The 18,526-nt window shown below is 36.2% G+C and overlaps 1 long non-coding RNA gene across 1 annotated transcript; it reads right to left on the bottom strand.

Moving 5' to 3' along the window:
• LOC105377910 (uncharacterized) lies at positions 1-1,949 on the bottom strand. The gene is made up of 3 exons (XR_942812.1): positions 1,702-1,949; positions 689-841; positions 1-87 (listed from the first exon to the last, which is right to left on the bottom strand). It is a non-coding gene; the product is annotated as an uncharacterized LOC105377910 (long non-coding RNA).
• Positions 1,950-18,526: the final 16,577 nt, after the last annotated feature.

Raw genomic sequence — 18,526 nt, 5'->3', positions numbered from 1 at the left:
GGGCCTTCCTCTTTGTAAAAAATCAGGTCAAATGAAAATCACCATCTCTCTATAGCAATGATTGGCATGTTGCACTAAGTTAGCTGACTGTCATGAGAGGATGTTATGGAAGAAACACAGAAAATTAGGTTACTTCATGGATATTTAGTTTCACACTTCTAAGGCTTTACAAATAAGATGATTACCCATAATGTTGTAATGTTAGCTTTGTAAATGTTATAATTAAACAACCGTAATCTTTTTTCTTTTCTTATCTTTCTCTTTTTACACACACGTTCTATGTATCATCTTTGCATTGGATCTGTCCTTTTAATTAGAAAACCTTTTGGAAATTTTCAAGAGTTTTTTAGTTATAATTGATATTTCTGAAAATCAGAACTAGGCACTTCAGTAAAAGGAAATTTTTGTCTTTGTGTGTAAAAACTTTGTTTTTCTTTATGACGATGATGTTAATCAGTTTTTAGCATTCAGGATAAGTTTTGTCAAATTATACTTTAAAGCTCATGCAAGTGCAAAAGAAAATATTAATACACTGGCATCCAGAGAGCAAGTTCGTAGCTTTCATAACTCACTTCCATGGCATTTCAAACTTAGAAAGTTTGAATCAGTTCTGAGTTGAACTCAGGTAGAATTCTTAGATGTCACTAAATTGGTCCTCCCTAAGCCACTTTATATCACCTCATCTCACCTTCTCAGTCTGCAAAATAGAGGATCATGATGTCTTTCTCAGCATACTTTATGAGAATGTGTAAGCGATTAGTCAAGCAGTATTTAAGTGCAGTTTGAATTTATAGAAGAAGATACCAGGTTATTGGATTAAGTAATAGATTTTTCTTCCTTCCTAGGATGTGAACAATAGGAAATATTAGAACAATGAGAAATATATTTGATATTAGATAGTAACAACCAGTGATCGTGATAACAACACTGGACCTGAGTTTATGGAGAGCATTAGGAATGGAGCATTTTTCAAGCACTGGTTGATGTGTATCCAAAATGTTTATAGTGGCTGTCAGGTCCCTTGTGGCTTTGTCCTCAGCGGGTACTGGGATCATCTCAGTCCTGACCAGTGGTCAAAGCATTGTGTCTGAGAGGCTTCCCGTCAATACTTCTGTGGTTCTTATGACATCAATGCTATATGGACACTAATATCACCACTATAAATTGCTTTATTCATGAATACAAGACCTAGGTTACTTACTACCTTCCATGTAATAAAAATAGTCACAGCTATAATAAATGCTTAATATTTACAGTATGTATAGATGTGGATATTATAGGAAGAATGTTCTATGTAGTTAGAAAGGAATAATAGCAATTATAAACAACCCTCAGACCTTTGGGTTGAAAGATCATTATTATAACAACACTACAAAAAAAATAGACTTTGAAAAATAGTCTTTGGAATAAAAATAAACAAAGAAGAAAATGATTCTGTGAAAAAACACTGTTTGAAATAATATGTTCATTTCATTTCTATAGTTCTATTTGAAAAATGTGCAACTTTCTGAAGCAGAATGACAGCAAGTAATACAGTAGAATGACTTGGCTGTGTTACATATTTGGGTGTGAAAGTGAATTTCTTTGAAGTCATAAATACACTCCGGATATTTAGTTAAAGTTTAGATTTCCTAAAAGTTCTGCTACAACCAGATTTTTAAAGCCAACCAAAACAAAATCTGTAATTTATTTTCCTATTACCTTTTTATGAGGTCTTATAGCCACGGTAACTTCTTTTGTGCTTTGAGATTTACAGGTTAGGTCCTGTAAAAGGGCACTTGTATGACCCTCTAGGCCTGCGCTGTATATCTTGCGTTTTCATTTCCAGCCCACTAAAATTAATAAAAGCATCTTTATGTAAGGGTGTCCTTATAATGTTCAAATGACCGGAGTACAAGAGGTTAAATAATATTACCGCCACTGTTCCTGAATTTCCACACTACAATCAAGTGAATTGACATAGAAGATAGAGTCGGCAAAGCTCACAGTCCCTTGTGCCAGATTTCAAATGGGAACTAAAATATTGATAGAATTCCATTTGGGATATTATCAAGAGTGTGGTATCTTTACTTTGAATTTTATTCGTGTTTGCGATATTATTCAAAAATCGAATGCGCCACACTGCTGCTGTCACTCAGAGTGCCCTTGTTGTTTGACTAAGGGAGACTTCAGCTTCAGGGCGCTGTGCTATTCAGCAAAACATGGTGCCAGGAGGGGCAGCTTTGCCTGCCTGGGAGAAATATCCTCCTTTATAAATAGCCCTATGTTGCCCGTGTCTTTTAGACTACTTAAAGCATTTTTAGCTAAAAATACACAGCCATTCACAACAGAAATATTTTTCTATCCCCATCTTTTATTTTTTACCTTCTAATTTACTACATAATAGGAAGAGCATTTCATGCCCCAGCATTCTTTTCTTTTAATATCCTGTATTGTACAGTGTTTTTCCCCCTTAAAGACTCCTTTAAAGTACAGTAACAATATTTGGACTTCATCATAAAATATTACCTTTTTATTCCAAGACAATAATGACTCTAAGATTAAAAATATATATATATTAAAAAGAGAGAAGAGAAAGAAACCCCAAACAAGCCACACCATCCAGTTTCGGCCAAGCTGCCAAATCCTATTACAGATTCAATCCTATTAAAACGTTCCCAGGTTTAAGCCTGCTTTGGAGTTTTTCATAGGAGTGCATGACCCCTACCCAAACCCCTACATGTGTGGTCAGGGACCTCAGGATAATCATAAACTGCCTGGACTCCCATTAATCTCGCACAGTCAGATATTAGTGCTTGTAAATCAGCACCTAAACAAGAACAATAGTTAAAGCCATCAATAGTCTTTTAATGAGGCAGATCAAAAACAAATGAAAGCAGCAGGACACTCGGATTTGCCAAGGAGGGGAAGGGGAAATCCATAAGCTTTGTCTGATTTCTTATAGAAAAAAGTAGATGGATTTAGTCCAGGTCCTGTCTTCTAAACTACTGCATTCACTGTTTAAAAAATAAAATAAAATAAAACAAGATTATTTCCAGGAATTTTCTTTATTTTCTTTGTTTGGGGCATAGCAGCTGTCACTTTCTTTTCTTTCTCTTCTTTTCTCTTTATAGTTCCACACACACATATATCGACATATGTACATTAATGTACACATATTTAAAAGAGGAGGCCATTGCAAATAATAACTGCATGTAGACACATTAGGCAATGATCAGTTACACTTTGTCAAGAATTTTAATTACTTATCTGCATCCTTGCAGGCATTTTATGTGCTTTTGAAATTCCCACAGATGTTTTTTGTCCATTAGAAAAAGGGGGAAATATCTTGTTTTGTAATTCCTTGTTTTAAAGAAGGAGAAAAATAAAGCAAGATAGGATTTATTATCTAGCACGCATGTGCAGCAGCATTATAATGGTTGCCAAGCAACCTAAAGGAACCATATCATAGTAAAGGGAGGGGCAAATGAATGAACAGATGCATGGGATTAGATATGGGAGGGAAAGGGAAGAGGTTGCCTTGAAATAAGCTCACCTTGGCACATTAGTTTTTGATTGTGATTTGCTCTTATTCAGGTACATTTATCTTAAATAGTTCCTTTTGATTTTGCATGATATTTTTATTTTTTGCTACCGTTTTAGTTTACTATTTGACTAAAAGGCTCAAAAAGAAGAGGTGGGAAATATTTGTAAAATTTGTGTTCTTTCATTGTTGCCAATAACATTCTTTCAAGACAATATTTTAAGAAGAGGCAAGGTACAGAAACAAGTGTTCTTGTACATTTGCTCCAACATCACCCAATACAAACACACACATTCAAAAGTTGTATTTCTTTGGTAGTGTAAAAAAAAACATATATTTACTTCAAATTGGCAGCTTACTAAGCCACTTTCATTGTTGTGTTAAAACCTCACTATATATATAATTTTATGTATTTATATATATAATTTATGTGCATGTTCACACAGATACACATACATATTACAGAGAGCCTATAGATAAAAATAAAACACTCTCTCTTCTTGTTGCCAGATTACAGATGTTTAGGATGTGCACCACACCTCTTCTCCAAGGGGTGAAGACAGATTCATAGTATATACCCAAAACAATTTAAATGGTTGACTTGACAACACCTATTCTTAGGTAATAGCATACAACCCAGTTTGTTCATTTAAAGTACAAAAACCTCGAATTCCATGGATTTCATAGCAAATATCACTAGATAATCCAATCCTGCAGTAGAAGTAAGCTCAATGTTAAATTCTAGAAGGCAGCCTGGCCTCAGCGCATCCTGGAAGCCCATTTTCAGCCTCCAAATGGGAAAGAGTATAAACTATTTTCAACTCCTTTGAATTATTTAATAAACAAAACTGATCATAAATTAGTAAATGTCTCAAGTGAGACTGCCGAATAGAGAACATTCAACTGGGAAATGCCTACCATGATAGTTTCTGAAAAAGCAAGGTATGAACCGTCAGTTTCTCAGAACTAGCCACCAAAAGAGGACGACAGGTTTAATTGATGTAGCAGGTGTATGACGGCAGAATTCACACCACCCGAGGGCTTCTGTTACTTCCCACCTCAGAGCAGCTGCATGCATGAGGAGGGCTGGTCTTGTAGCAAGATGTTGACTGGGCCAGTTCATGCACTTGGGGACTTTTCCTTTTGGACTATGTAATAAAATTGTAGCTTTGTAGTTTTCTCAAGAAATGGCATGTGGAGTTGCATTTTAATCGTAAATTGACATTAAGCTATTGGGGAATTATACTGTGTCTACTAATATATATTCCACCTCTCTTGCCCTAATGAGATCACCTTACACTCACTGGCACTGATGCAAACATTTAGAGCTGAGTGCTCAAAAGAGGCTGGAGTACAAATGGTACATAATTCATTACCCTGGGAAACATGGATTTCAATGCAACATAATGCAAGGTGCTCTCAAGTATTCCTGAGGCAGGAAGAGTGTACCACAGTCATAGTGAAGTGACTGTTTACACCAACCTGATTCCACTTGTTCTTTACTAGAGCTAACAAGCCCTCTACTGTATTATTGCACCCAGTTCTACTTACTGGACTCCACAGACAAGTCCTTGCAGCTAGAGGAACAAACCCTTTGTTGCACAGTCTATGAAGCAGCAGAAACTTCTGTGAATAAAAAAGAAAAATTCTGGAAATTCTAAAGGATGTTTCTCCGAGCTTTTTTAATAAGGTCTCAGCAACCTGGAGAATTTGCATTTAGAATAACAAACTCTATTTTTCACCCCTCACTTTTCCACCCCCATTCACTCTTGTCAATAACCAAAAGATGGCAGCATTTTACCCATCATTCATGAGTGACACCTTTGGTGGAGCTAGGTTTGCAATTTCACTTTCATGTGCATTGTTATTTCCTCTTGGTACTAAATGTGGATTGATAACACTGTGGCATTTATTAACAACAGCAACAACAACAAAAATGCAATTTCAAAAAAACTCAGAAGATTAATTATACAAATTACGGTGTAAAGCATCAGAGTTCCTCTTTGATGAGGAAATACACACCAGTCTGACTGCAGTGACTACACAGAGCAATCAAGCTTTGCTAGTGGTATCAGAACCCAAACACCTTGTCCCTCCAGCCATTAGGCTTTCTTCTTGGCTGTGGGCCAGGGAAAGGAGTAGGGACTATTGGGCTTGCAGGCTGAACCTAATGTGGGGGAAATGAAAAAGGGCACTAATGAACATATCTGACAGGGTTTCCACCAGGCCAGGCCTGCTCCTCATCTCTTCTCAAAGCACGCCATAATAACAAGGGCAAGATTGGTTAAGTATCTGAAAGAGGGTGTGCCAAGCACATTTACTCCTGGGATTTGAAAATGGAATAGATCCTTATCCACGAGGGTTTAGGGACACTTCTTCCCAAGATGCCTTTCAAAGCCCATTCTAGACATTTGTCTGAATCATTTGATTCCCAAGAAGATCAACGGCGTCGTTTAAAAAATCTCATTGTGAGAAACAGGAGAGTACAGCTTTGCCACAGTTGTGTGCAAAGGGAACGTGGTCCTGTTTTTCTGAGTGTTCATTATAAATAGGGTCGACATTTGAAAGCAATAAGCCTCATCAGCTTCCCACTCACTCTGTGTAGTCTGCTCATCCAGGCTGTTATTTTCCTCTCCTGCATTGTTGATTAGCATTATCAAGATACAGTGATAGGCCTCATTCCCTCCTAAGTACCAAGATTCACATTTTTCTTGAAACGAGGGCAAAAATCCCTTTATTATAAAATAGGGGTGCATGCTCAAATTTGTTTAAAATGACCAAAGAAAATGTAGGCAAAAATATTCTTTAGAAGCCTCTGGTGTTTGTTTAAAAGAAATCAATTATTTTGGGGTTAGTTAGAAATATTTTTAAATATAATTTCAACATCTATTTTAAAATTCAGGGTGCATATGTGCAGGTTTGTTGTATAGATATACTGCATGATGCCAAGGCTCTGGGTATGATTGATCTTCTCATCGGGGTTACTTTTGCCTTTGGACACAATATATGTAAATCTGAGAGAAGGATTTTGTTCCTCCTACTTTTGGGTGCACTAACAGAGCTTATTTCCCACTCTTATCTTTTTCTAGGACTCTAGGACATTATATTGGTGTGTGACAGCGGAAATGTGAATTCCTTTATAGTATATAATGGGCACCACTAACCAGAATGATAAATGTTGATCTGTCATAGAATCAAAACTGTAGAGTGACTTTATAGACATAATCAACATGTGTACACTGTTTATATAGTTAAATATGTACAATGAAACATAAGATTGAGGTGGATTTATATTTAAGAAACTCCATGAAGGGATTCAACAGGAAATTGTAATTCAGTTTCACAAGTGTCTAGTCTTTAGAAATAACGCATTTATGTATAAATAAACTTGAATTCGAAACATCTAGAATTATACAGAGAGCAAAGTTGGCTGGTAAAAGTTGGCAAATGCAAGCAACTGTCTAAACATGAGTTTGAATCCCAGTTCTTTGTCTTCAAGCTGTGAGGCCCCGGGGAAGTGCTTGACTTTTCTGTGGCTGAAGTCCTTCATCTGTAAAATGGTGATACAAACAGCTACCACATGGAACTCTGTTGGGATTAAATAAGATGTCCATAAAGCACCCACCATGCTTACCATGGAGGAAGTGGTATGATTCTTCTTCTTATTAAGACATGTATTAATATTCATAATAATATCTGACTATTTGAAGGCATAACCCTACCAAAAGTCACTAAGTTGTGGGCCTAAAAAAGACAATAGTGCATTTCTATTCTTTCCTACTCTCCTAAAAATTAGGAATCATTTCTTTTTCAACATGGCAACTTTACTTCTAAATCAACATTTTTTGTGCCTCCCTTTTCCCCGACATACTGGCTCTCGCTTGTCTTTCATTTCTGTCAGTGATATCATCATCATGTTTTCAATGATTAAGACGTACATTTGTTCTTTTACTTATTTATCCAAAAGTTATATGGCTTGCTGTTATCACAGAGCACTATTCTGGGTGTTGTGGGGGAGGGGAAAACCAAAGTATGTTAGATTTTCTGCCTTTAAGACTATATTTTATTAAAAAAGATGACATAAACTTAGGTAACTGTGACTCAAAGGACTCTTAGGTAGCGTTAATGTTGTTTGCAGGGGAGCTCTTCCATGACTTCCTCCCTCCCCCACACATACACTAGGATTAATGTCTCCCTGCTAAGTGTTTGCATGCACCCCCAGGTATGGTTCTATTGCATTACATTATCATCAACATTGATTTTATGCTCTGTCACTCCACACATCCAATTCATCAGAAAGTCTTATAGACTACCTCCAAGTTTATATTGAATTTGCCCATTTCTCACCATCTTTTCTAAGCCCCTATCAGCTATTTGCCCAGGTTATTGCAAGAGCCTCATAATTAGTATCTGTGATTCCATTCTTGCTTCCTTACAGTCCACTCTTTCCCCAGAAATCCCTTACAGTTCCAGCTACAACCTTTTCAGTTCTTCAAATGTGCCAAGCAAGTTCTGGCTTTATGGTCTTTATAACAGCTATTTCCTTGGCCTAGAATACTCTTCCCCCAAGCTTTATGTGTCTGCCTTCTTGTCCTTCATGTATTAGATTAAACATCATTCCTATCCAAATCAGCCAAGTAGTCACTCCCTATCATATCATCCTATTGTCGTTGTTAGTACAAAACTTATCACTATCTGTTATGTTCTTGCTGATCCACTTAGAGCAGCATCCCCAACCTTTTTGGAAACAGGGACCAGTTTTGTGGAAGAAAATTTTTCCACAGATCAGGGAGCAGGGGATGGTTTTGGGATGGTTCAAGCAGGTTACATTTATTGTGCACTTTATTTCTATCATTATTACATTATAATAAATAATAAAATAATTATAGAACTCACCATAATGTGGAATCAGTAGGAGTCCTGAGCTTGTTTTCCTGCAACTAGATAGTCTCATCTGGGGGTGATGGGAGACTAACAGATCATCAGGCATTGGATTCTCATAAGGAATCCACAACCTAGATTCCTCACATGCATAGTTCATGTTAGGGTTCGCGCTCCTATGAGAATCTAAGGCTGCCGCTGATCTGACATGAGGGGTAGGTCAGGTGGTAATGTGAGCAATGTGGAGTGGCTGTAAATACAGATGAAGCTTCACTTGCTCACCCACCACTTACTTCCTGCTGTGCAGCCTGATTCCAAACAGGCCACTCTATCTTGTATATGTTATATCCTCAGAGTCTAGAGTGGTGTCTAGGATATAATTGGTGCTTGATAAATATTTGTTAAAGTAACAAATAATTGATGATTGTTATGCATTTGTTTCTACTAATAAATATTGAGACTCCTGAGTTAGGGACCATAGTTCATTTGTCTTTGATTTGCTGGTGCCTAGCACGTAATAGAAGGTTCAAAAAAAGGCTAGCTGTTTTGAATTGAATAAATGAAGAAATGATTTATTGCTGGAGTGATTCTGAAAAGCATCATAGAGAAGGCATTTGAGCTGAAACTTCAGCAGATGACAAAAGATGATAGTACTTCATTTCAGGCAGCAGGTACTATATGGGATAAAGTTTGGAACTGGAAACATTTAATGATTTTTTTAAAGGTAATGGTGAGTAGTAATTCAGATAAGTTGGAGTTTGTATAAGAGGATAACATACGGTAAAGATGGCAGGGAGGTTGGAAACAGTTAAGACTGATCTCAAAAGCTTAACCAGCAATATGAAGTACACATATTCAGTAGGCAGAGGAGAGATTCATAGCTGTGATTTAAGGGGGTTAAATGGCAGCTTTGTGAAGCATAAATTGCGGGGAGGAGATGGATAAGAGAGCTAGTTAGGGGCTAGTATAATAGTTTGGAATAAAGTAACCAAAATTAAAGTGGTGGTAGAATGTGGGAAAAAAAAACAATTAAAAAGCCTGATAGAACTTGATATAAAGGGTTCAGAACAGAACTCACTTTGAAGTTCCAAAAATGCATTATGGGGAGAATGGATTATATATAAAGAAAATTAGAGAGAAGTCAAAAGGAAACTCAGGTTTACTGTGAGACTGATAAGACCTGATTTTATTTTTTGCAAGTGAATTTTTAATTTATGACAAAAATTTCTACAGGTATTGTCTACCAGGCAGCCTGAAATGTGGTACTGGAGCTCAGAAGACTTCAATAGGTAAAGGAGATTTGGAGATGATCTCTTTGGATGTTCTAGCTGAAGCGAATCTTGGTGCAAAGTTAGAAAGGACCTTGTGAACTGCCCATAGGTCTTGAGAACTGCCCACAGTCATTTTCTTTAAAATCTTCTTTTAAAATCATGAAATCATTTCAACTTTTATCTTTATTCCCCACATCTAATCAGTACTGAATTACCACCTTCCTTTTAAATGTAGTTCACATCGTTTTCCTTCCCTCTGCCCAGAACATTGAAATTGTTTCTTAACTGTTGCTTTCTACTCTTCCTGATTTAGCCTCTGTTGTCAAAGAAAGTTGTTCGTTTCCTCATCTTGACTCATCTACACAAAGCCTTCTAGATGTGTGCCACTTTGTATGAAAAGAATTGATAGGTGCAGTGGGAAAATCCACCCTTACTCTTGGCAATGTATTGTAACTAAAGTCATTTTATATGGGCAAAACATTGCAGCCTGAGCAAATGGGGATGAGGTTTAAGTTGCAGCTTAGAGAGGGGTCATCTGGAATAGTATATCTGGTCCTGATATACCTGTGCTGTCCAATATGGTAGTCACTAGCTATATGTGGCTACAGAGTATTTGAAAAAGTGGCTAGTCCAAATTAAGATGCAGTATAAGCATAAAATACACACCAGATTTTAAAGATGCAGTATAAAAATAGCATGTTATACAAAATGTAAAAGGTTATATGTTGAAATGATAATATCTTAGATATATTGAATTAAATGAAACACATTTTAAAAATTAATTTTACCTGTTATTATGGACTGAATTGTGTCCCCCTGAAAAATCATATACTGAAGACCTAATTCCCAGTGTGACTGTATTTGGAGATATGGAATTTAAGGAGATAAAGTTAAATGAGGTCATTTGGGTGGGCCCTAATCCAATAGGACTGGTATCTCTATAGGAAGAGGAAGAGATGTCAGGGTTGCATGTGCATAGAGAAAAGGCCGTGAGAGGCACAGCAAAAAGGTGGCCATCTACAAGCCAAGGAGAAAGGCCTCAGAATAATTTATCCTGCAGCACCTAGATCTTGGAGTTGCAGGCTTTAGAATGGTGAGAAAATACATTTTTGTTGCTTAAGCTACCTAGCCTGTGGTATTTTGTTGTGGCAGCCTTAGCAAGGTAATACATTTATCTTTAAATTTTTTTAAAAATGTGACTACTAGAAACTTTAAAATGACTTACCAGGTTTGCATTTGTGGCTTACATAATATTTCTGTTGGACATTGTTCTAAACCCATGGAGAGCAGGTGCAAGCATAGTTTTGTAGGAGCCAAGATGATTTCACAGATGACAGCTCAATACTCAAGAAACAAGAGAATCATGCTGGGTTTTGGTGGAGGAGAGAATAGAGTGGCAGTAGGAGCTGATATTGGTTCTCTGTAATCCAGGGGGCCTCAGTGAACTTGCTTCAGCCCCTCCCCAGCAAAAGCATCGATAATACCTTTTTAGACTGTATAAAAGTGGTTTATTGAGGAATTAATTTGGATGAAACATAACTTATCTTTGGTTGGAGTTAGCAAGAGTTTTGAAAAAATGTGGAAGCATGAAGAGAAACAGGTGAGTTTGAAACATATTCCAGTTTGTGGTAGGTAAGGTAACAAAGACATGACTGAGAAATATGCCAGACTAGGAGCTTTTGAGTATCTAGGACAACTGAGAGATGAAAGGAGAAGGTTCTGGAAGAGCTATGAAAGAAGAATCAAGAGATGATTTGGCTTAGTCCATGTCTCATAGGATATAAAATGATTAAATAAGTTATGATTAATATAGAGCTTCAAACAGTCCCATGATATTGTTCTACTCCACTTCTTTCTCTAATCCTGGGGACCCAATAAGCAGGCTTCCTTGTCCTAAGAAGGGACCTGATGGGGTGAGGAGCCTCATCACATTCCCTGTTCTATACTCGTTCCATGGAGGATTTGGGGGCACTTACAAGTGGGGCACTGCAGTAGAACTTTAGATGACATTCCCAGTGCAGGAATCAGGTAACCTATTTGAATTTTCATCTTACACTTGACTTCAAATAATACCTATATGAATTTTTCTGTTTAGGCTCTTTTCAGAAATATTTCCTTCTCCATGACACATTTGTGATTCTGCATCCAAAGGCCTCTTTTAAGGACATGATACAGATTCTATCATCTGCCTTCATGTCCAGGTCTCTCTTCTTCCCACTCTTTTTGGTGTGAGAATGGCTAGGTAGACATTGGGCAAAGACAGGCTTGGGATACCCCATCTGGGTTATAGGAGCTTGGTTCTAGGCATTAAACAATTGTTGAGTAAAAAATAGCAAAAGGCAAAGAAAAGATTCTGTAGTAAAATCTTCTCTAATTAAAAAAATAAAGATTATAAAAATATACAACATAAAGAAATCTTAAACATAAGAATAAAAGACTAGACATCATGGAACAAAGTGTTGCATTTAGTTCAAAAGTCTAGCTGAGGAGTTTAGCTATGAGCTCCAAGCTATAAACTTGCTGAAGGCCAAAGTTAAAAATGGATGGAATATGAAACATCTTTGCTTAAAAATGATAAGGTTTACTTTTTACTTAAAAATGAGTCTATAGCCCAGATGCCAAAAGGAATTGATCATAGATGTCTACCCTACATGATGTCTTTCACATATAGGTACACAATACATTTTTGCTGAATGTAGAATGGAGTACCACTTGGCATTTGTACCATCTGACCTTGCATCCCATATGTTTAGCTTTGCAATTATTTTAGAAGTAGCAATATTGGCCAGGCGCGGTGGCTCACGCCTGTAATCCCAGCACTTTGGGAGGCTGAGGCAGGCAGATCACAAGGTCAGGAGATTGAGACCATCCTAGCTAACACGGTGAAACCCCGTCTTTACTAAAAATACCAAAAAAAAAATTAGCTGGGCGTGGTGGCGGGCGCCTGTAGTCCCAGCTACTCGGGAGGCTGAGGCAGGAGAATGGCGTGAACCCGGGAGGCGGAGCTTGCAGTGAGCCGAGATCGCGCCACTGCACTCCAGCCTGGGCGACAGAGCGAGACTCTGTCTCAAAAAAAAAAAAAAAAAAAAAAAAGAAGTAGCAATATTTGCCTATAACTCGTACTACGTTCTCATCCTCCTTTTCCTCCTCCTTTTTCTAAGAAAACATAGTTGACTCATACTCAAATAAATGATCGTTTCCAGCTTGGCTGATATATTTGGTCAGTTAAAAAAAAAAAAGTGACAGGAACAAGATACAGATAGTTTCTTCTTCCAACTTTAACATTTAGTATCATGGACTTGCATTAACAAATATTGAAAAGCAGTAAATTTTTACTTGTTTTTATGCCAAACTCTATTGATTTCCATGTGACAGTCTATGTAACAATTATGTAACAGTGACAGTAATTCAATAGAGAAATGTGGAAGGAATAGTTGAAGCATTTTCTGTTTTATCAATATATGAAAAATAGTACTTCATTATTAAAAATAAAAATATAATGGACTGCTTCAATCCTATGTAGGTTTAAATCCAACTAAGAGTCAAGAAAACCTATCTATATATATGGTAATTCTATAAATCTTATTTTCAAAATTATTAAAGATATACATATGAAATACATAATCATGGTTATTTTGGGTGTGTATATGTCTTCGTAATTTAGATCACGTATTTTACCTGTAAAACAATCTTTGAATATTTGTTTTTCATCCTATGATATTTTTGAACAATTTATTTTATTCAAGCAGTTTCTCAGGATTTGGCATAACCTGGACATTATGAGTTTTATGGTTTTTCTCCTCCCATTTGCCTCTAAAATTAGATGTAACAGTTGCAAGTAGTCCCCCTCTATGTACTTCCAAAGTCATTTTCTTATAGACACACGAATGTCTTCTAAGATCGATCACACCTGGGTTTCTGTGTGCCAAGTTAAAAGGTGCTTGGTGAGCTCACAAAGTGGAATGCAAATTGGAAAAGGAAGTGAACTAGGAAATACATGGACATAGATTATATACATAAGCTTCTTTGCACTGAGATGATTTTGCAAAGTAGGCGAGCATTTTTGGTAATTTGGTTTTTGATACGTGGTAGAGACATATGTGCCTATTCTTAAAGCATCAGAATTAATTAGAAACTTTTTAGAGCTTTTTAGGGTAGCCCACAGGTTTATTACTAAAACAAGGCTGTTTAGCACACCATTAGAATCTCTTGAAAACTGAAGTTAAATATGAGCCACATTTTAACTGCATTTATAAACCAATTTTACATTTTATCGTCAAAATGTTGTCCTTTTCATTACTTAGGGTTAGGGCAACGACAATCACATTTATCATAGCTGCCAAAACATTTGCTTGCCACTTCAGGTCTCCTGGCTACTTTGCTCTTTTCTAACTTGCCTCTTTTAAGTCATATTCAATCCTGGAACTGCTTTTGAACAATTCATTTTTTTTGCCTTAGAAACTGCATGCTTAGAGCAAAATAACTGGGGCATAAGCTAACAATCCAAATAAATTTGGAGGGGGATTTCAGAAAATTTGGTCAATATCATACTTAATTTCTTAAGCAATGCTTTAATCATGTGAATTTCCCTCTTAAAACATCAGGGAGAGGTTCTTTTATCTACCCTTTATCCATTGGCTATCCAAAAGTGTGTAGTAAAGTGACAGGGCTGATGAAGAAATGATTTTTACCTGTTGACTCGGAGACATACTCTATGAAACAGGCAGTCAGTCCTAATAATTGGAACTATGTAGTCTTAACAAGATCAAAGTATCATTACCCCATGGAAAGAGACTTCCAGTTGAAGCTCTCAAACACTCAAGACTCATTTTCTTAAACTGATAATAGACATCTACATAGATTCTTCAATTCAACTGACTACCTTGGTTTGATTTCTTACACTGAAGCAACAAATGTTTTTAAAGTTCCTCCAAATTTAATAAAATATATGGCTGAAAACCATTCACTCCTGATCTTCAGAGGACTTGTTAAGATTAGTTTAACAGAACACCAAATACTGTATTTATAGGAAACTGAATTGTATTTTTATTTGGAATTTGGACCAAAATACTTTTATAATTCCAAAATCATATTGAAATTGATAATACTATAGGCTAGTTATAGCTTTTTCTACCTGAAGAGGATAGAGAATGAGGCTTTTATTCCCATTTTAATAATGTTGGAGGAAAGGTTATGTTGCCATCTTCTAGGGCAGTGTGAACCTCAGTGACCTGTCTCTTCAATTGTCTTGATGGCTGGAAAAGGTAACTTAAAAATATATCCTTTGAGTTTTTTTAAAAACAAATAATTCTCTGAGTTTTCAATATGATTTAAAATTATGAGTAATTAATGTATTTGTATCTTTACCAGGGAAATTAGTCTTGCAGACTTTCTTTAAATAATTTCTGATTAACCAAAGGATTAGTAAAATGTGCTTACTTCACACCATTTTCTGACAATCTACAGCAAAATTAAGGCAAATGTTATTTCGGAGAGTCCGCTAACTGGTCATATAACCAACATTTTAGTTAAATTTCTGTCAGCTGAACTGTAAAAAATTAAAGATCCAAGATAAAATGTGCTCCCATGCTTCAAATCTGACCAATTCCATTACGTGCACTATTGAAGTATGAAGGCTTTCTCGTTGATCAAAATGCTGGTGAGAATCTATACCCTTTTTTTTTTTTTGTCATGAGTACTCTTGCTATGAAAAAAAGAGTAGGAAGGCCAAATGAAAGACTGAAAAAAGCAGCCATAAAGTGACTTTTTACATTTTTTTAAGTAGGTCACAGTAAGGTATATTATTCTTACTGCAAAAGTCAGGTTAAGCCTCTCAATTAAGAAAAGATGCATTTATAGAGCTCTTCCATTTTTATTGATTTTTGATGTCATTTTAAAAATGATGTATAACCATATTGTAGGAAACTGGACCCAAGGAGCATTTCTTTCCTATCTTTAGCTACTGCCAAAGAGCATGGTTCTGGCATCTACAGGTCTTGGGAGTATTACCTTGTAGAGCAGCTGGGATGATCAGCCCATGAGGAAGGGTCATTGTCTTTGACATTTATGAATATATGAGTGTCCTTGTCCTGGTGCTCTGCTATACACCTGAACATAACCTATGCTTCAGACAAAAGCAAGGTCTCTCATTTGGAACAAGGATAATCTGCTTAAAAATCTAAATCTCTAATAAATGGCTGACGTGTGCAAGAATATCATAGTACATAGCTCTTTGTAAGGTAATTTTAAAAGAAAATGGTACGCATTTTGCTCAGCCAAGCAATCTGAAAGTTCAAAAGGTAAGAAGCACTTCTCAGCATGAAACTGTCAAACATATTTGAAAAGAAAGTTAATTACAATTGGCATTTTCAAGCCTTCTGCTGGCCATGGCTATCTTACTGAAAGGTGACATTAGTGACATCCATTGTATAGGGGCTGAGAAATGAAGAGTATCAAAAAACTGAAGCTCTGCATTTCTGTAACATAGGATGAACAACCCCAGGGCGCTGGTTTTTTTGTAGACATTTTGTAGCTTTGTGCATGTAAAGTGATTGAGAATAGGTACAAACTAGATAGAGAGAAAATAGTGTTATTCCAAAGAGGTCATCTGAATTAATCCTTTCCATGGGAAAGAGATTGGAGAGGATTGATGGTCACACAAAAACACCTTCTAATTTTGCTCACCTCTGAGTTTTCCTGGGTGGACTTAGATTTCCCTTTGATGACTTCTTGGTTACTTTTTAGCTATGTTTTTTCTCAGAGAGAAAGAAAGAAAGAAGAAGGGAGGGAGGAAGAAAGGAAGGAAGAAGGGAGGAAGGGAAAAGAAGAAAGGCAAGGAAGGAAGGAGGAGAAGAGGGAAGGAAGGAAGGAGACATCTAATCATTCAGATGAGTTGAGCTTTGGCTAGCTCCCAAAGAAATCTGATAGTAGAATATGACTAATCTTTTATGTGTTTCTAAGCTGACAGGGGAGTGAAATGCCAGTTGGGTTCTGAATGACCCTCAGCAAAACCAATAAACTTTAGTTGTTATTTATCATTATGTTGACCTGTAAATATTCAACTAAAACTGGATTATGTCTATGCCATTTAGTGGATAGGGTGTTGGAAATAAGAAAAGCTAACAGAAGAAAATGGACCTTCTCCCAGGAGTATGAATTTTATTTGGAGTTTTGGGGAAAAGTATTTAATATTTAAGTAAAGGCATATGTTATAGGAGTAGAATGCAAACATTCACATCTATGTTTCAGATAAATTGAGGCATGTCAAAGAATTGTTTTGCTTGTGTGTGTTGCTTCAACTGTTCCACAGTTCCCAAGAATACACATTTCATTTCCTCATTCACTAGGAAAGTTTTGTGGAAATTTTGATTGTCACTGAATTTTAAGGCTGCAGTTATTAGTTAGAAGTCATTGAATAAAAATTGCTGCACTGTGCAATTTAGCCAATTGTTTAAATATTCCCTTAACAAAATCCACATTATTGTTTTATGCACACCTTTAGCCCTTGGTAACTATAAGGGGCATTGGGATACACACTGGGAATCTTCCATAAGTCAGAAAGTTTTAAGTAAATAAACATGGAAGACAAAAGAGGTCACTCTGAGCCAGCTTGTTGGCCAAAAGCAGTATAGCAAGCATAGAGCTCCAGGTAGGTATGAGTAAGACACACAATTTTTAGTATATTTAGGATAAGAACTATTTTTAGTAAAAAGTTGTTCAAAGCACCAAGTCACACAAAACAGCATTTTCACAGTGTTCTTATAGGACCTAAATTAATATAATTATTCTTATTTGGGTAAGAAACTAATGATATGGTGATACTATTATCAATATATGTGAAACATTTGTTTGACGTATAGCATCATACTATTTTTCTTGTTAGCCAACCCAAGACAAATAAAAGTGAATATTGAATTACCACAGTGTTCTAACCATACAGATGTCATAAGCTACCAATGCTTTTTGATGAAATTACCAGTGTGAGGTAAGTACTCCAAAGTGACAAATGAAATATGCCCTAATTTTCAATTGCACTTTGTAGTTTGTTTAGTATTAGATATTAGGCACTCATATTTGAATTACCATAATCAATTAGAAAAAAATTGCTTGACTTATGTCTTCAAAAATGCCATGTTCACATGTTTTCATGCAGCTTTTATTAGTTTGCCTTGTCTGAGTACCCAATTGTAATGCATGAACCTAAACTTTCTGCTCTGAATAGTGATATAAATATGGACTCTTCCAGTGGTATACTGTTTTGCTCAAATGTAAACGTCCCAGAACAATACAACAAAATCTGTAAGCCAAGTGGTTTTTGAAACTATTTTCAAGGTTTAAATAGTAATATAAATAAATTCTGGGAAATGACAAAGTCATACACATTTTACAAATACCATATAGAGCCAATATTATAAAGTCCACCCTCAAAGGGAATATGTTTATTCAGTTTAATGAGGAATTTATAATTTTGGATCCCGCACGTTCCTTGATAGAATGAGTGAAAAATAGCCACTGGGCTGAAGCAAAGGTATTGACGGTACTAGGAATTAAAAAATCAAACTTGAACTACATTTGTTGCCATGCCAAACAAGATACTAAAAAAATACTCTGAGACAGAAATCAACAAAGCTAATTTTGTTTTTTTCTGTCTTTGTAGGGATATGACAAAGAAGGAACTAGCAAGTGACATCTTAAGAAAGTTAGGATTAGAACGCATTGGATCTGGGCGCTAGTTTACAGAAGCTTAGTCTTCTTGTTTATGCCTCAGGAAGTAATAACAGTATTAATCCATCTAATAAATGTTTATTGAACACCTACTATGCACTAGTCACTGCTTCAGGCCCTGGGGATA

Source organism: Homo sapiens, chromosome 6 (genome assembly GCF_000001405.40).
Source record: "Homo sapiens chromosome 6, GRCh38.p14 Primary Assembly".
NCBI classification, from domain to species: domain Eukaryota; kingdom Metazoa; phylum Chordata; class Mammalia; order Primates; family Hominidae; genus Homo; species Homo sapiens.
The sequence above is the reverse complement of the archived record's forward strand: the minus strand, read 5'-3'. Positions and strand labels throughout refer to the sequence as shown.